General features: G+C 40.3%; 1 annotated feature.

Annotated features, from left to right (window-relative positions):
- Positions 12,530-12,599: an enhancer, noted in NCBI's record as "active region_21616". NCBI's record gives its function as "activates an Ori minimal core promoter by ATAC-STARR-seq in GM12878 lymphoblastoid cells {active_cell/tissue: GM12878}" and the evidence as "EXISTENCE:reporter gene assay evidence [ECO:0000049][PMID:35858748]".

Genomic DNA, 20,267 nt, shown 5'->3' with positions numbered 1-20,267 from the left:
TTATCAGTTCTAGGAGCTTTCTGGAGGAGTCCTTAGGGTTTTCAAGGTAAATGTTCATATCGTCAGTAAACAGTGAGTTTGACTTCTTTACCAATTTGGATGCCCTTTATTTCTTTCTCTTGTCTGATTGCTCTGGCTAGGACTTCCAGTACTATGCTGAAGAGGAGTGGTGAGAATGGGCATCCTTGTCTTGTTCCAGTTCTCGGAAGGAGTGCTTTCAACTTTTCCCCATTCAGTATTATGTTGGCTGTGGGTTTGTCATAGATGGCTTCTATTACATGAAGGTGTGTCCCTTGGATGCTGATTTTAAAGAGTTTTAATCATAAAGGGATGCTGGATTTTGTCAAATGCTTTCTCTACATCTATTGAGATGATCATGTGATTTTTGTTTTTAATTCTGTTTATGTGCTGTATCATATTTATTGACTTGAGTATGTTAAACCATCCCTGCATCTGTGGTATGAAGCCCACTTAATCATGGTAGATTATCTTTTCGGTATGTTGTTGGATTCAGTTAGCTAGTGGTTTGTTAAGGATTTTAGCATCTATGTTCATCAAGGATATTGGTCTGTAGTTTTCTTTTTTGGTTATGTCCTTTCCTGGTTTTGGTATTAGGGTGATGCTGGCTTCATAGAATGAATTAGGGAGGGTTCCCTCTTTATCTTGTGGAATAGTGTCAAAAGGATTGGTATAAATTCTTTTTGAATGTCTGGTAGAATTCTGCTGTGAATCTGTCTGGCCCTGGACTTTTTTTGTTGGTAATTTCTTAATTACCATTTCAATCTCACTGGTTGTTATTGGTCTGTTCAGGGTATCTAATTCTTCCTGATTTAAGCTAGGAGGGTTGTATTTTTCCAAGAATTTATATATCTCTTCTAGGTTTTCTAGTTTATGTGCATAAAGGTATTCATAGTAGCCTTGAATGATCTTTTGTATTTCAGTGGTGTCAGTTGTAATATCTCCTGTTTCGTTTCTTAGTGAGGATATTTGGATTTTCTCTCTTCTTTTCTTGGGTTAATCTTGCTAATATCAATTTTATTTATCTTTTCAAACAACAAACTTTTTGTTTCACTTATCTTTTGTATTCTTTTTTATTGTTTCAATTTCATTTAGTTCTGCTCTGATCTTGGTTATTTCCTTTCTTCTGCTGGGTTTGGGCTTAGTTTGTTCTTGTTTCTCTAGTTCCTTGAGGTGTGACCTTAGATTGTCTGCTTTTGCTCTTTCAGACTTTTTGATGTAGGTGTTTAGGGCTGTGAACTTTCCTCTTAGCACCATCTTTGCTGTATCCCAGAGGTTTTGATAGGTTGTGTCATTATTGTCATTCAGTTAGAAGAATTTTTTAATTTCCATTTTGATTTCTTTTTTGACCCAATGCTCATTCAGGAGCAGGTTATTTAATTTCCATGTATTTGCATGGTTTTGAAGGTTCCTTTTGGAGTTGATTTCCAGTTTCATTCCACTGTGGTCTGAGAGAGTGCTTGATATAATTTCAATTTTCTTAAATTTATTGAGGCTCATTTTATGGCCCATCATATGGTCTATCTTGGAGAAAATTCTATGCACTGTTGAATAGAATGTGCATTCTGCAGTCATTAGATAAAATGTTTTGTATATATCTGTTAAGTCCATTTGTTCTAAGGTGTTGTTTAAATCCATTGTTTTTTTGTTGACTTTGTGTCTTGATGACCTGTCTAGTGCTGTCAGTGGAGTACTAAAGTCCCCCACTATTATTGTATTGCTGTCTATTTCATTTCTTAGGTCTATTAGTAAGATTTTAAATAAATTTGGGAGCTCCAGTGTTAGGCGCATATATGTTTAGGATTGTGATATTTTCCTGTTGGACAAGGCCTTTTACCATTACATAATGTCCCTCTTTGTCTCTTATAAACACTGTTGCTTTAAAGTTTGTTTTGCCTGATATAATAGCTACCCCTTCTCACTTTTGTTGTCCATTTGTATGAAATGCCTTTTCCCACCTCTTTACTTTAAGTTTATGTGAGTCCTTATGTGTTAGGCAAGTCTCCTGAAGGCAACAGACAGTAGGTTGGTGAGTTCTTATCCATTCTGATGTTCTGTAACTGTTTTTTTTTTTTTTTTTTTTTTTTGAGATGGAGTCTTGCTTTGTCACCCAGGCTGGAGTGCAGTGGCACGATCTCAGCTCACTGCAAGCTCTGCCTCCCAGGTTCATGCCATTCTCCTGCCTCAGCCTCCCAAATAGCTGGGACTACAGGCACCTGCCACCACACCTGGCTAAATTTTCGTATTTTTTTTGTACAGATGGGGTTTCACTGTGTTAGCCAGGATGGTCTCAATCTCCTGACCTTGTGATCCACCTGCCTCAGCCTCCCAGGGTGCTGGGATTACAGGTGTGAGACACTGAGCCTGGCCGATGTTCTGTAACTTTTAAGTGGAGCATTTAGGCTATTTACATTCAATGTTAGTATTGAAATGTGAGGGACTGTTGCATTCATCATGCTCTTTGTTGCCTGCATACTTTGTTTTTTTTTTGTTTTTTAATTTGCATTTTTATTTTATAGGTCCTGTGTGATTTATGCTTTGAAGAGGTTCTGTTTTGAAGTGTTTCAGGATCTGTTTCAAGATTTAGAGCTCCTTTTAGCAGTTCTTGCAGTGGTGGCTTGGTAATGGTGAATTCTTTCAGCATTTGTTTGTCTGAAAATGACTGTATCTTTCCTTCATATATGATGCTTAGATTCACTGGATACAAAATTCTTGGCTAATAATTGTTTTATTTGTGGAGGCTGAAGATAGGGCCCCAATCCCATTTAGCTTGTAAGGTTTCTGCTGAGAAATCTGCTGTTAATCTGATAGGTTTTCTTTTATAGGTTGCCTGGTGCTTCTGTCTCACAGCTCTTAAGATTCTTTCCTTTATCTTAACTTTGGATAACCTGATGATGATGTGCATAGGCGAAAATCTTTTTATGATGAATTTCCCAGATGTGCTTTGTGCTTCTTGCATTTGGATGTTTAGGTCTCTAGAAAAGCGGGGGAAATTTTCCTCTATTATTCTCCCAAATATGTTTTCCAAGCTTTTAGAATTGTCTTCTTCCTCAAGAACACTGGTTATTCTTAGGTTTGGTCATTTAACATAATCCCAGACTTCTTGGAGGCTTTGTTCATATTTTCTTATTCTTTTTTCTTTTTCTTTGTTGGATTGGGTTAATTCGAAGACCTTGTCTTTGAGCTCTGAATTTCTGTCTTCTACTTGTTCAATTCTATTGCTGAGACTTTCCAGAGCATTTCACATTTCTTAAAGTGTTTCCAAAGTTTCCTGAATTTTTGATTGTTTTTTCTTTAAGCTATCTATTTCCTTGAATATTTCTCTTTTGTGTCTTGTATCATTTTTTGGATTTCCTTGCATTGGGCTTTGTCTTTCTCTAGTCCCTCCCTGATTAGCTTAATAACTAACCTCCTGAATCCTTTTTCAGGTAAATCAGGGATTTCTTCTTGGTTTGGATCCATTGCTGGTGAACTAGTGTGATTTTGGAGGGGTGTTGAAAAGCCTTGTTTTGTCATATTACCAGGGTTGGTTTTCTGGTTCCTTTTCATTTGGGTAGGCTCTGTCAGAGGGAAGGTCTAGGGCTGAAGGCTGTTGTTCAGATTCTTTTGTTCCACAGGGTGTTCCCTTGATGTAGTACTCTCCCCCTTTTCCTATGGATGCGGCTTCCTGTGAGCTAAACTGCAATGATTGTTGTCTCTCTTCTAGGTCTAGCCACCCAGCAAGTCTACCCGGCTCCAGGCTGGTACTGGGGGTTGTCTGCACTGAGTCATGTGGTGTGAACTGTCTATAAGTCTGTCAGCCATGGATATCAGTGCCTGTTCCAGTAAAGGTGTCAGAGGGTGCAATGGACTCCTTGAGGGTCCTTAGCTTTGGTGGCTTAATGCTCTATTTTTGTGCTGATTGGCCTTCTGCCAAGAGGTGGTGCTTTCCAGAAAGCATCAGCTGTAGTAGTGTGCAGAGGGACCACGGGTGGGTGGGGCCCTAGAATGCTCAAGATTATATGCCTTTGTCTTCCACTACCAGGGTGGATAGGGAAGGACCCTCAGGTAGGGGTGGGGCTAGGTGTGTCTGAGCTCAGACTCTCCTTGGGTGGGTCTTGCTGTGGCTGCTGTGAGGGATGCAGGTGAGATTCTCAGAGCACTGGAGTTGTGTCTCTAGGAGGATTATGGCTGTCTCTGCTGAGTCATGCAGGTTGTCAGGGAAGTGGGGCAAAGCTGGCAGTCACAGGTCTCACCCATCTCCCATGCAAACCGAAGGGCCGGTCTGACTCCCACTGTACTCCCAGGAACATCCCTGAGTCTGTTTCCAGGCAGAGGGTGAGATAGGCTTGAAAACTTGCTTGAGGCTATCCACCTCCCAGCTGCAAAAGAAAAGGACTTTAGTTCTTCCCCCGCCTGTGAAGTCTGCACTCTGGATTTGCACCCTCCCCTGAGTTCTGGCCAGGAGGCTTTCCACCCTGTTCAAATTGTTACGAAGTTCAGCTAGAGAATTCCTTCTCCCTGTGGAGTTTTATGCGCTGCTCCTCTGGCCACCCTCCTGATGGATCCCTGTGGTGTCAGGCAGGAATGGGCTGCTTGGGGACCCAGCAAGCCCCCAGGGCCTTTTTGCTGCTTCCTCTACCCCTGTATTTCGCTTGGCTAACTTGATTCAGCTCCATATAAAGTTGGAAACTTCTCCCACAAACAGACCTTCAGCTTCTCCAGTGGGGGTGTGTGTTAGTAAAGGAGAGTCTCTGTTTCCCACTTCCCTAGCTGGGGCACTCACAGTATTTGCAGTGTCTCCTGGGTCCTGTAAGAACAGTTCTCTTCTTTCAGAGGGTCTCTGGGTGCTCTCGAAATTGCTGGTTTGTTCTTGCAGTAGACCTGGAGCTAAAATTCACAATGCAAAACTCCACATGCTGCTCTGTCTGGAGCTGCAATCTAGTCCTGCCTCCCGTCTGCCATGGAATATGCATGATTTTTGAAGTCAGGATATTTATCATGTTTAGCATGTTATTTGCATAAATAAAAGGGAACCAACTACCAATATCCAAGACAATGAGAAAAAGACCTTGAAGGCATTTTGGAGACCTTTGTAGTAGCCCCTGTCAACACAGGCATAGAGTCCTAGGAAGAAAGAATGGTTTCATGGGCCAGGCATGGGACCTCACTGCCCTGTGCAGCCTCAATACACTGCTTCCTGCATCCCACCCAATCTGGCTCCAGCCTCAGTTGAAAGGGCCCCATATATAGCTTGAGTGGCCTTCTGAATTGCACCACAGTAAGCCTTGGTGGCTTCCCTGTGGTGTTAAGCCTGTAGGTGCACAGAGTGAAGCCTTGGCAGCCTCTGCCTAGATTTCAAAGGATATATGAAAAAGCCTGGGTGCCCAAGTAGAAGCCTGCTCCAGGGGTAGAGCCCTCACAGAGAACCTCTACTAGGGCAGTGTGGAGGGGAAATGTGGGGTTGGAGCTGCCACACAGAGTCCCCAATAGGGCACTTTCTAGTGGAGCTGTGGGAATTGGGCCACTGCCCTCCAGATCCCAGAATGGTAGATCCACCAGCAGCCTGTGCCCTGAGCCTGGAAAAGCTGCGGACACTCAACTACAGCTGTGAGAGTAGCCTTGGGTGCTGAACCCTGCAAAGCCACAGGGGTGGAGTTGCCAAAGGTCTTTGGAACCCACTTCTCTTATCAGTTGCCCTGGACGTGGGACATAGAGTTAAAGAAGATTATTTTGGAGCTTTAATGTTTAGTGACTGCTGTGTTTCAGTTTTGTGTGAGGCCTGTAGCCCCTTTCTTTTAGCCAATTTCTCCCTTTTGGAACAGGAATGTTTACCCAATGCCTATAACACCATTGTATCTTGGAAGTTAATAACCTGTGTTTGATTTTACAGGCTTATAGGTGAAAGAAACTTGGCTTGAGTCTCAGATAGAACTTAGGAGTTGGGAGATCTCAGTTAATGTTGGAATGAGTTAAGACTTTAGGGGACTATTAAGAACGTATGATTGCGTTTTGCAGTGTGAGAAAGACATGAGATTTGGGAGGGAACAAGGTGGAATGATATTATTTGGATATCTTTCCTTACTGAAATCTCATTTTGAAACGTAATCCCCAATGTTAGAGGTGGGGCCTGGTGGGAAGTGTTTGGATCACGGGGGTCGATCCCTCACGAATGGCTTGGGCTATCTCCTTGGTAATAAGTGAGCTCTTGCTCTGAGTTCACATGAGATCTGCTTATTTAAAAGTGTGTGGCACCTTCCCTCCTACCCTCTCACTCTCATTCCTGCTTTTGCTATGTGACATGCCTATTCATCCTTCACCTTCTGCCATTAGTAAAAGCTGCTTGAGGTCTTCCTAGAAACCAAGCAGATGTCAGCATATCACACTTCTCATAAAGCCTGTAGAACCATGGGCCAATTAAACCTCTTTTCTTTATAAATTACCCCATCTCAGGTTTTTTTTATAGTAGTGCAAGAATGGCCTAATACACCATGTCCCTCCTTCTAGGAGCTGGAATGTTCTGACTCCTAACTGCACTGTGGCTCCACAGCCTTTCCTATCCTGCAAAGAGTCAGATGAGTTAGGCTTGTCAGAATGGAATGTTGAACAGTCAGTGTGAGGAATTGGGCCACGGCAGTAGATTAATCAATAAGTTTTCCATAAAAAGAGAGAGCTATGAATAGTGATAGGAGGATAGGGGATGTGGCCTTAAGGAGCAGACAGCCCAAGGGAAAGTGTTATGTAGAGTCTCACCCTGAGGCTGGGGTGAGCCAGGAGAAATGGTGCCACCTAAGATTAGCTAGTAAGGACAGGATACCAGAAGGGCCACTACTGAAGGTGATGCAAGAATGGGTTGCCAAGGTGAGGGGTGAGGGAGGTGGTTGAAAGGATATACATGTGTAGGATGGTTGAGGCAAAGAGGAGAATGATGTTACTGACTGGGGAACTTAAACACCAATTATTGAGTGATTCTGGACTTTGCCATGAGTGATGTTTGCTGTGTCACTCCATTTCCCGGGTGCCTGGTGCCTGTCTGAGAGGTGGGGCTGATGTTGAAATGAGCTATGGTAGACTGAATAGGAAAATGAATGCAGTTCATTCAGAGAATGCTCCCTTCCTGGAGCAAGGATATCTGATGTAGACTATTAAGTTCTTTCCTATTTGGTGTTGTAACAACGCTTTATTTTCAGCAAAGCCTTGAAAAGTGAGGAAGATACAGAATCCATGCTTGGGGGAAATGTGGCAGGAGATGGCACCATGGACAAGCGCCATGGGCTTGGCCCTGAAGCGATGGGGACTTGAGCTGGCTGTGAAAGGAGGCAGGCAATCAGAAGAGACTGTTACTCTCCCTCACTGTCCTAAATCTTTGAAAATGTAAAGGATGCTGCTGAATTTTCTACAATTTTGTGGGATGTGAGCACAGTTATTTTGTTTGAATAATAATGAAAAGGATGTTTCCATAAGGTGGAGTGCTTGGGGGATTTGAATTATATTACTAATTCTATAAGAATAATGAAGTGGATATTAAAAACCAGTGTTTTAATACAGCATAACTGCTTACTTCTAATTAATTGTGAAATGTAATAATGTGGTAAAATTATAAATTTTACTAGCTTTAAGCAGGTCCCCTGACCATAACTGAAAAGGTATGAGCATCAGAGAAAATAATAAAAATCAAGAATTACAACATATTGAACTTTAAAGGAATTGTTAAGTTCCACAGGGATTTTTTAAAATGGTTGAAGGTGAAGAAAAAGCTTTGTTTTACAAAAGAATGGCAACTAATACATGTGGAAGGAATGATTGCATTAGAAAATCATAATTTTGCCACCAACACTATAATAGTCAATATAGGGAAGACTCATTCATGGATACATAAATAAATAGGTGAAAAGTTTTCAGGGAAAAATATTCACATCATCTGAAAGGATCATTTATTATTTTATTTATTATAAGGGGAAAAAAGCATCTTTACAATAAAGAAATATGGCAAATTCCTTTTTAACCAAATGATCAAACTTAGCATCATAAAAAATGAGACATTATCTGCCTCCTAATGTGATGTACTGTATTCAACATTACTTGTATAATGCTGTCAAAATCTTGCCAGAAATGTTTAACCTGAATTAAATCATAGGGAAATTATCAGGCAAATCCAGCTTGTGGAACATTTTACAAAACAACTGACTTTTCAAAAATGCCAATGTGATAGAAGACCAAAAAGGCGGGGAGCTCAGGGGGTTGATACGAAGAACTGTTTTGGATGAAAGGAAACTAGAAAGATGTGGCAACAAAATGCAATGTGTCATTTTCGATTGCGTCCTGGAATTACAGAAAGAAAAACAGATTTAAAGACTTTATTGGACCAATCAGAAAAGTTTGAACATGGACTATATATCTGATGATATTGTGTGAAAGTTAAATACTTCGAGTATAATAATAGTATTTTGCTTATGTAGGAGAATGCTCCTATTATTGAAAGATCAGTGAGGAAATATTTAGGGTGGAAGTATAACATCTGCAATTTTTTTCAAATGGTACTACACGTACACACACCCATACACATACACATCGAGAGAGTGAGATAAAACTAAGATGACAAAATGTTTAAAACTGGGTAATCTAGAAGACATGTATATGGATGACTTATACTATTCATTCAATTTTTCTGTAAGGTTGAAATATTTCAAAATAATAGGTAGTATCCAAAGTAGGCTATCTGAAACCAGGTGGTTTCAATAAATTATCAAGACACAATACTAGTGTCCTGTCAAAAATATTCCTGTAATTCCTATTCCGCCAGAGTGTCCTGACAGGTATTCTATTACATGTCAGTACCACCAAAGGGGAAAGTACAGCAAATGAATTAGTTATTGTCTGCAGACACTTGCTGTTATGGCTGGTTTGCAAACGCTTGGATTAGAGGGTTTAGAAAAAGAATAAATAAACAAAATTTCACAAGCTTATCCTAGTTGACAGCCCCAGCTGCTAAAGGCCTAACCCTAATGAGATGTGGGGCAGGCTGCAGTGGTGACAGTAGCTTCTGCACAAGGTCCTATTTGTGTCACAAAGGCAGGTTTCATGCTTTGAGGGGGCTGCACAAAACATGCATACCGAAGAAAGGCAGCAAGAGGGAACTAAACAGAAAACCAATCAAGTTGAATAATCTCGATATAATAGATAAATTATTATTTTTGTACTTACCGAGATCTGCATTCTTTCTTGATATAGATTCTGAGTAAAGACAGTTTAAAGAGTTAGGGTTTTTTTTTTTCCCGCTTCACTGGGAAAGACTTTATCTGGACTTCATTTTTACACATACCATGAAAGCCAATTGAGAAAATAATGAAGAAATGCAAAGTAAGTGAGCGTTTTTTATGTTGACTGTTATAATTTTATGTAATAAACTGCCCTATACAAAAGTTCCCTGAGAGCTATTGTAATCCAGAAAAGTGGATTACTGTGCTTCTTTATGACTCATACGGGAAATCTGGTCTGGCCTAACTGAGCCAGACCAGCTGCGCACAGCGGTCAGACGTGGGCCCTGCATTGGTGGGAAAGAGACTGTCTATGGGCTTCTCAGTGGTGGTATCAGCCTTTCCCTTTGATCTCTCGAGTTTGTCCTTAACAAATTCTGGGGCCTAAACTTTCTCTTAAATTTTGCTCTGCAGGCCTGGGACTGTCCTTGTTCAGGGGATTGTGATGGCATAGTGTATTTGGTGGGGTTGGACATAATTCTATTCAGCCAATTCATAATCTGGGGGGTTGGCCTCAGCCCTTGGGCTCCCAAGTGCCACACCCCCTTTGGGAGGTGTCCGTAGGGCCCACCAGACCTGGCCACTAGGACATTGGAGAGAGTCCTGGTGAAGCAGAATGTTTTTACATGGCTCACTTCAAAGTGTTTCATTAAAATTGAAAAAAAAAATGCTGTTTCTATTTTTTGTTTAAATTACTGAGCAATGTGTGCCATGGCATTCCCAACTCCCATTTCACATCCCTCTTGCCCTTCACCTTGACCCTGAGCCTCACTCACTCCCAGCTCTGAGACAAAGAGAGGCTATCGGTTGTCCCAATAGCTTGGTAATTTTTTAAAGACTGAAATTTTAATGGTTTGTTTTATAGGCCATGTTAAAGTGACCACATCAAAATGTGGGCTGAGTTTTAGGTTTCCATGTAACTCTTGACATTTTTTTTTTCTTTCTAAAAATTTGTCTTGGGCTGGAGAATGGACCTTCCTTGACACCTCAATCAAAGTTCTTTTTGTTTATTTACATAATCCTTTCTGGCACTGAGACTTAGCCCCAAACCCCAGATTAGCCCCTGCTGGTCCTTCTTGGTGCTAGTTCCCATATCCTGCACTCCCCGCTTCCCTCCCAGACTCCGTGCCCTCTGGTGGGATCTTGCCATACCTGGGCAGACATGTTGGAGCCTCCCTGTTGTAACCAGTACTGTAGGAGGTTAGGCTTTCTGGTACTGAGTACTGTCTGCTGGTTTGAACCTCTCAGTGATGTCCACTGCTTGGTTTGTGCTGTGATTTTGCCAACCTGCTTTCCTGCAGTTGGCCTCTTAGGCCAGGAGAATTCCCTCCAGCCCTGACATATAGCATGGATTCCTCCCAGTTCTGATTTCCTCCAAGTTGAGACCTTGAGTGGGAGGAATCCACATGCTGATGTCAGGCTAAATTGAAAAACTTTGCTGAAGTCTTTGAAATCCATTGGGAATAACAAGGTATGCTACAGAACAGAGGAACATTTTGACGATTTGACCAACTTCACTTGCCCCCTCAAGTTACATTGGTTGAAATCCTCAGGAATAACAAAAAAAAGGGAAGAATACAAGGAAGGTAGGAAGAGAAGAGAGCAAAGAGGGAGAAGACACAAGAATATAACATCTGTGGGTGGTGTGAAGTTATTGAAACATTAGCTAGAGTTAGAACTTAAAAATATGGTGTATCAACAGGTCACCGTGTTGCCTATTCCCAGCTCAAGCACTTAACACCAAAACCTGATAAAGTCAAGGAGTCTGGATCTGATTCTGGAGGTGGAGGCTGCCTACAATCACCATTAACTCCTCTTCTTGATGAGAATGATGGTTTCCAGCTTCATCCATGTCCCTATAAAGGACATGAACTTATCATTTTTTATGGCTGCATAGTATTCCATGGTGTGTATGTGCCACATTTTCAGCAAACTATCGCAAGGACAAAAAAACCAAACACCGTATGTTCTCACTCATAGGTGGGAATTGAACAGTGAGAACACATGGACACAGGAAGGGGAACATCAAACACTGGAGCCTGTTGTGGGGTGGGGGTAGGGGGTACGGATAGCATTTGGAGATATATCTAATGTTAAATGACGAGTTACTGGGTGCAGCACACCAACATGGCACATGTATACATATGTAACTAACCTGCATGTTGTGCACATGTACCCTAAAACTTAAGGTATAAAAAAAAAAAAGACACAATGAGCAAAGAATAGTCTCAAGAATAGTCTCTTAAATAACTGGTGTTAAGGAAACTGGATATCCACATGCAAAAAAATAAAACTGGACCCTGTCTTACACCATACACAAAAATCAACTCAAAATGGGTTAAAGATATGAAACTGAAACACCTAAAACTGTAAAACTTTTAATAAAAATCATAGGGGAAAAGCTCCTTGATGTATGCCTAGGCAAATATATTTTTGCTATCTCACCAAAAGCACAGGCAAAAGCAAAAATAAACAAGTGAGACTATAAACTAAAAACAAAACAAAACAAAACAAAACTCATTTTCTTCTATCTTTAGAGGGAGGTATTCTTAGGGTAGAATCCAGCTCCTCCACTTTGGTACTTTAAGGACCAAAATAAAGTACAAAATAAGTGCATGTAGAAACACTCTGTCTTCCAGGAGAGAAGGTTTTAAACTGTGTCACAATATATAGCGACAGAAACCAGCTCTAGCTAATTCCAGCAGAAAGAGGATTTATTAAAGCAAATATAGATGGCCTTAACAAGTGAAAAGATGATAAGCCTCCCTCATAATAAGATAAATAAAATTTAAAACTACACTAAACTATTACTTTCGCCTATCAGATTGGCACAAATCCACAGATTGGACAACATACCCTGGTAAAACTGTGGGGAAATAGGCACTCTCAGATGTTGCTGGTAGCGGTGCAAAATGATAAGCCCATGCCATGGAGGACAGTTTGGCAATATTCATCAACATTATAGATGCACTTATCCTTGGACCCAGCAATCCTGTTTCTAGGAATTTCTTCTAAAAACACACTTACTACGTAAAAAAATGACATACACAGCACTGTGCTGTTTATCACAGCAAAATATTGGGAACAGGCCAAGTAAACATTAATAGGTATAGGCTAAAATAAACTGTGGTATGGATCCACACCATGGAAATCTATGCTCTATACCACTGTAAAAGAGAATGAGCATGCTCTCTTGTACTCACATGGCAAAATGTCAAAGGGCAAAGGAATGCACATCTACACACATAGTGTATAGACAGCATGCCACCTTTTGTGTAACAAAAAAGAGTGATAAGAATACCGATTTCTACTCATATCTGCAAAAAACAATGCTGGAAGCATCCATACACTTTAAGAGTGGTTACTTAGAAGTTGTGAGGGCCAATGAGGTGCACTGGGAGAGGAACCGAAACTTCTTCATGTGTATGTACCTTGTATTGCTTTGAATTTAGAACATTGTGAATAAATTTAGAACATGAAATAAAAAGATACTGTGATTTCCCAGGGGACCTAATAACCGGGCCTAGAGGCTACTCATTGAGAAACAACAGACCAAATCCCTCTGCCAGCTGTGTGAAATAAGCCACACATAATCCATTCTGAGGCTGGCAGCAGTGGTGGCCACAATGACATCCAAAGGGGCAAGGTGGCTGTAGTTCTAGTGGCAGCATCCGTGTTCAGTGTCAGGGATATGAGCAGAATACGACAGCGTGTGTGTCTTCACTGCGGCACACAGATGGAAGGCAGAATGTCAAGCGAGAGGCTGACCCCCTCAGCTGTTGGGCTGCAGGAGACACTAGGGCTGGAGCCCCCAGGCTGGCTGTTTGTAACAGCAAACAACCTCAACTATTTTCCACGCTCTATATTACAAATAGTGTCGTTTTCTAAATGTCCTTTCTTTTAAAAAAGTTTGGGAAGCAATGGATTAGGCAGCAAAACTTTTGTAAAAAGGACCCCAGCTTGCCTCCAGTGAGGATAAAAAAATCACAAGGATCAAAGCATTCTGATTTGTTAAATTTAAAGATGTTTATTTGTTCCAATGTGCTTAGAGTGGATTTATTGCTGTTGATGTTAAAGTACTCAGCGCTCCACTCCAGAGGCTGGTATCCAAAGAAATGGCTCCACTAAAGCTGCTTTCCACAGAAGGTTATTTACCTGAGGGGTCACATTAGTGAGTGTCTTCCCCAGATATACAAGGAAACTTTGGGAAGCGTGACACTTAACTTTCTGTAGTCTCTCACTTAAAGGAAGGTACAGAAAAAATAAGTTTTGATGGAGGGGGTGGAGGAAAGCCAACATAAGATGCACCAGAGTGGACTGTCTCAAAACACTCTTTAATTCTCCTACTGTAGCCCATATAGGTCCACCTCCCAGGGTACAAAGTGAGGTGGAGATGGGTTAGTAATTGATTTGTGCAGGGAGAGGGCAAATTGAAGATATCCAGCACAACCTCAAAAACTACAGAACAGTGCTAGTTGCATACAGTTGTGTTAGCTTATTGAGTGAGGAATGCTACCATTAACAAAATCTCTTCTTGACTATTTTGACTTTTATTCTCTGTTCTTTCACCAATACTGTCAAAGGATAGAGAAAAAACAGGAAGAGAAGTCCTTTGCCCTGACTCCAAGCCAATTCTCATACTCTTGATAGGTCTGTTCTGGATTTCACTCATCTGTCCATTTATCCATCCATCCATTTTTCCAAACATCCATACAATAAGCATATTTTTTCAAGCATTGGCACAATTTATTTTGTACCAAGTTCTATGCTGGGAACTGGGTATAAAAGAGGGGAAAAGTACTCAGTGCCTGCTTTCAAGAATCTTGAAGTCTTATGTCAAAACAGACATGCAAATAAATGATTATAATGTGATAAATATTAAAATTATAGACATCCATATAAAGATCATGGAAAAGTAAGGTGTAAACCTTCACAGTGAAGAAGTGATGCTGGAGTTTATACTGGAGTAGGAGCTTCTTATATGGCTCCTTTTGATGAATTAGAAAAAGGCACCCTGTCTGGGAAGACAAAATAGACAAAGGTAACCCTGCCACCCTGGACACAGTCTTGAGCCAGATGCAAGCACTGGTGAATCAAATTCAGGCTGAACGTCTCCTCCCAGGCCAGGATAATTTGTGCATCCTTCAGATTGTCCAGCTTTATGCGGCAGCTCTGTCCCTTAGATCTAATTCTCCACAGGCTGCTATATCAGGACTTCCCTTTCATTGGCTTAGTCTAAGGTCCTCCCAGAAAAGTGGATAGGTAGGTGGGTGGGGGTGGATATCAGCTTAACTCCCTCAAAACAAGGAATAAAAGAATTTTTTTTTGAGCCAGGTGGTGCTGATGTAAACTGTTATTTTTACTGCTTTGTCAGTGTGCCAGCAGATTATAAACAATCTGAACTTGCTCTCTATATGAGTGAATTCACATCTCAATACTTCTGTTGTTTCTTCCCTTTTTCCTTTTGAAGACTTGGAATAAAACTTCCATAGAATGAAGCAAATTTGATGTCCTTATTTTATTTCTTTTTTTGTCAGTAAACCATCAGGCAAAAGGATGCAATCTAAGGGAATTTATTGACACAGTCTTGTTGGAAATTGTGGTAGAGATTTAGAAAGCTCAGTCTCTGCAGTTGTTTATGAATATGGTAGTCCCCCTTATCTCCGGGGAATATTTTCCAAGAGCCGCAGTGTATGCCTGAAAACATACACTGCTTTTTTTCCATACATACCTTCCTGTGATAAACTTTCCCCTTTTTACTCAAAGGAAGCACTTTATGGCTTCTCTTTGGCATACCTGAATTGCCAGCATTACTACTTTTGTGCTTTGGGGCCATTATTACATAAAAAGAAGGTTATTTGAGCACAAGCACTGTGATACTGAAGTGGGTGATCTGATAACCTAGACAGCCACTAAGTGACTCATGGGCAGGAAACAGCACAAATACTCTGGACAAAGACAGGATTCTTGTCTTGGGCAGGAGGGAGCAGAGCACAAGATTTCCTCACACTACTTAGAACAGTGTGCAAATTAAGACTTAGGAATTGTTTATTTCTGGAATTTTTCAGTTTACATTTTCCATCCAAAGTTGACTGTGAGTAACTGGAATCTCAAAGGTAAACCGCAGGTAAGTGGGGACTACTGTCACTGCAGTGAGTTGCAGTGTTCCATTATTTTTTATTTCACAGGATGTTAGTGTTTGCGTATAGGGAAGGTGCTCAGCTTATGTAAACTAATAGAACCCTTTATGGTGGCCTGGTCAGGAAACAAAACACCATTTGAAATGATTGGAGTCATTTCTTACACATTTCCCTGTACTTGCAGCAGTGAGAAACTGGGCCACACCTTTGAGTGTCATTTTTTTTTTTTTTTTGGTATTATTCAATACATTTCTGACACAGGTTTTGGTTCAGATACATAGCTTCTCTCTACACAATGTGAATGATCATTGTGTTTTATTTTAATTCTATCTTTTCTGTCCAAGAGCTCAAAGGGAGACAAATCAGTTTTTCCATTCAGAAGAGTAGGAATGCGCAAAGTGAGAAACACTGGGGGAACATGGGGGAACAGAAGGCAAAGGAGACAGAGGTGTTCAGGTTGTTACCACAGGGTGCGGTGGACAGCAGACAGCTTTCTTATGGGCAAGTCACATGGGCTCTTGAGACTTAGCTATCTGTAACATTACCCAAATTAGAATGGGATTCGTTGCATTGCTTTCTTATGTCTTTGGCTTGATGCCAGTGTCCAGCATGCTCAAGAAATCTGTTTGTGAAAAGCAAGACAATAGTCAGCAAAGAAATGGATTCCATTCTTGGACAATGGAATTTTTATTCTTACTTTAGAAGGTATAATTTCAAGTGGCACCCCTGGTATTTGTGTTCATTCACAAATTTTGATGATGTTCTATTAAGACCCATGTTTCTTGCTTTTTCTTTAGAGAATAGTTGCCTCCGTAGCTTATGACTTCTTCCGCTGTACAAGGCAAAAGTTGGTCATTTTCTGGTCAATTTGTTCATTAACAACAAACAACAGTTTAAATCTGTCAGGTGGGAAATCCACATTGCCTAAATTAGCTGGATAACTGCAAAGACTCCTCTTTCCTTGAGACCGTTAGAAGTGTCTCTCATTGTTTGCGAGTGGCTGGCAGTCTTCAACACCATGACCCCCATACTACCTTTGACACCTACTTTTTAGCACACTGCAGCTCTGCGCACATGCCTGTAACCTATTATAAATGAGCACAATTTGAGATGAGTTGGTTGGAAAAAGAAGAGTAAATTTCATCTTCCTAAACCTATAATTTCTGATTTGGTTTAAAATTGGAAGGATTTAAATAAAATCTAGCTAATCAACAAATATTTAATGACTTCAACTATGTGCCAGGCACAAGAGTATATAGCAACGGACTTTGAGACAGGGGCTCAGTTCTCATGAAACTTGTCATCTAGGGGAAGAAGACAGACAACAACTATAAAATAAACAATGCAGTTTCAGATGGTGATCAATACTGGGAAAAAATGAAATAGAGTGATGTGCCCGTGGGAAGCTATTTTACGTTGGGTGGTCAGGGAAAGTCTTTTTGAAGAGGTGACTTTTGATTTCTTAAGCTATGATTTATTGTTATGATTTATATGATATTGCTATGATTTATTTCTATGCTAGCCTGAGTTTTATTTCTATTAACTCATTCAATCTACACAGCAGTCATATGAGAAAGTACTATTGCCTCCTTTCTATAAAAGAGGAAACTGAAAGATCCATTTGGAGACTTGACCGGGAACACACTGATGGGCAATTGTAGAGCCAGATTTGATCTCAGGGAATTTAGCTGCAGAATCTGTGCTTATAATCACTACATATATTGCCTGCCTTAAGCTGAAACCTGAAGGACTGAAAGAAGCCAGCCAGGTAGAGTTGAAAGCAGCTGTGTTAGGCAGAGGTAAGAGCCAGTGGAAAGTTTCTGAACAAGAAGGAGTTTGTGGAGTCTGAGGAGCAGATCAAAGACCACTGAACAAAAGCAGGAGCAGTGGGTGATGAGGGCTCAGAGCTCGGCAGAAGTCAGACCATGTAGGGCCTTGCAGTTCTTGGTAAGGAGTTTAGATGTAATTCTAAGGAAAGCCATTACAAGAAGGGAAGCAGTTCTGCCTTTAGACTGAACTAGAGGGGCCCCTGTCCTGGGCTCCATGCTTTAGTAAAACACACACACACACACACACACACACACACACACACACACACGTGCATGCACATGAGATTCTTCAGGCTCTAGGCATTGTTTAACAGTGAAAATGGTGATACAAATGATAATCTATAATCTTACATTAAAATGGTTTTAATACTTTCTGCAAAGCAATAATTATATGCAGCCTCATTAAAACATTTTAATGTAGTAAATACAATTTGAGATTTATTTTTGAATCTAAATGTTAACTTAAGAATTTTATTGGCTGGGCATTGTGGCTAACACCTGTAATCCCAGTGCTTTGGGAGGACAAGGTGGGAGGATCACTCGAGGCCAGGAGTTTGAGACCAGCCTGGGTAACACAGTGACATCCTATCTCTAAAAAAAAATAATTTTATTGACAATCCGGTTTGCTACTGTCTCAGCAGGAGAAAATTTCTTCAAGTTGAAATTAATAAGAAAACAAACTAAGAAGAATAACTCAAAAGGTGGTTTCATTTGACATTACTGTCACTAGAACATAAATTATGTGCAAATATTGATTATAACAATATAATTACTGATTATGCTAAAATGAAGGCAAGAAAAAATAAATTTTATTTCATAAATAGATAATAATTTGTGGACTATGTATACCTTATTACTCTTACAAACATTGCTGGCCCATCAATGGAACACTCAGAGATGTGTAATAATAATCTAATTTAGTCATCTTTGATATTTTGCCAGCTTTTACTCATGTGAAAACCATACAGAGCTCCTCTGATTTTTTGTTGTTAGACACAGACATTTCTTTCTCTTTTTTTTATTATTCTACTTTAAGTCCTAGGGTACATGTGCACAACGTGCAGGATTGTTACATATGCATATGCCATGTTGGTGTGCTGCACCCATTAACTCGTCATTTACGTTAGGTATATCACCTGATGCTATCCGTCCCCCCTCCCCTCACCGCATGACAGGCCCCGGTGTGTGATGTTCTCCACCCTCTGTCTAAGTGTTCTCATTGTTCAATTCCCACCTATGAGTGAGAACATGCGGTGTTTGGTTTTCTGTCCTTGTGATAGTTTGCTGAGAATAATGGTTTCCAACTTCATCCATGTCCCTACAAAGGACATGAACTCATCATTTTTTATGGCTGCATAGTATTCCATGGTGTATATGTGCCACATTTTCTTAATCCAGTCTATCATTGATGGACATTTGGGTTGGTTCCAAGTCTTTGCTATTGTGAATAGTGCTGCAATAAACATACGTGTGCGTGTGTCTTTATAGCAGCATGATTTATAATCCTTTGGGTATATACCCAGTAATGAGATGGCCGGGTCAAATGGTATTTCTAGTTCTAGATCCTTGAGGAATAGCCACACTGTCTTCCACAATGGTTGAACTAGTTTACAGTCCTACCAACAGTGTAAAAGTGTTCCTATTTCTCCACATCCTCTCCAGCACCTGTTGTTTCCTGACTTTTTAATGATCGCCATTCTAACTGGTGTGAGATGGTATCTCATTGTGGTTTTGATTTGCATTTCTCTGATGGCCTGTGATGGTGAGCATTTCTTCATGTGTCTGTTGGCTGCATAAATGTCTTCTTTTGAGAAGTGTCTGTTCATATCCTTCGCCCACTTTTTGATGGGGTTGTTTTTTTCTTGGAAATTTGTTTGAGTTCTTTGTAGATTCTGGATATTAGCCCTTTGTCAGATGAGTAGATTGCAAAAATTTTCTCCTATTCTGTAGGTTGCCTGTTCACTCTGATGGTAGTTTTTTTTAGCTGTGCAGAAGCTCTTTAGTTTAATTAGATTCCATTTGTCAATTTTGGCTTTTGTTGGCATTGCTTTTGGTGTTTTGGACATGAAGTCCTTGCCAATGCCTATGTCATGAATGGTATTGCCTAGGTTTTCTTCTAGGGTTTTTATGGTTTTAAGTCTGACATTTAAGTCTTTAATCCATCTTGAATTAATTTTTGTATAAGGTGAAAGGAAGGGATCCAGTTTCAGCTTTCTACATATGGCTAGCCAGACACAGACATTTCTTAAAATAGGAGGATGGAATATATTTTATATAACAGGTATTAGCTAGATCTATTAATTTAAACATTTAAATAAACATTAGGTAGCCTCCATTTGTCCCTCTGCCAAGGCCTGCAAACATAAGGAGTGGACCTAGGGAAGTGACAGGATCTGATTTACATTTTTAAAAGATGAGAAAAAGCAGCAAAATGATACTTATTTCTAAAAGTGGCATTACCTGATTTATGCTTTCAGAAGACAAAAAATGCCATATTCATTTCTGAAATATACAATTTTAAAAAATGTTCTTTCATTTATTGATTTTTTTTTCTTGAAACTTCAGATTAGACATTTAGTATGGGGTAGAAGAAATACGTACTTTCACTTAATCCTTGTAGTACAACATATCAAGTCGGAGTTCTTGGATGCTGACTTCCTATAGCAGTGATTCCTAGTGCTGCACCTTACAAATGCTTGTGGAGTTTATAAAGCGTACGTTTGCCAGGGGCCCCGCCCCAGAGATATGAGTTAATTGGTCTGGAAAAAACTTTTTATAAGAACTCCTAGGTCATTCTTACGTGAGGTCAGTGTTGAGAACCATTGCTTCAGTGGTTCCTTGCTCTGTCTTAAAACTGGCCTCTTACCCCTTGTTTGGCAATTTCAGTGATTTGTTCCCCCTCTTTTCTTGTTTAGGCTTTTCTGGTAGGAATCATCTCTTTATTCCCCTGGCAATTTTCTTTCTTTAAGTGGGTACAAAGGAAATTATTATCACTTTATTGGACCATGCTTAGAGGAAATAATAAAATCATATGAGGGCTAAAA

The sequence above is a fragment of the Homo sapiens genome, chromosome 4 (assembly GCF_000001405.40).
Source record: "Homo sapiens chromosome 4, GRCh38.p14 Primary Assembly".
Taxonomy (NCBI): Eukaryota; Metazoa; Chordata; class Mammalia; order Primates; family Hominidae; genus Homo; species Homo sapiens.
Note: the sequence above shows the minus strand (reverse complement) of the source record. Positions and strands in the feature narration are given on the sequence as shown.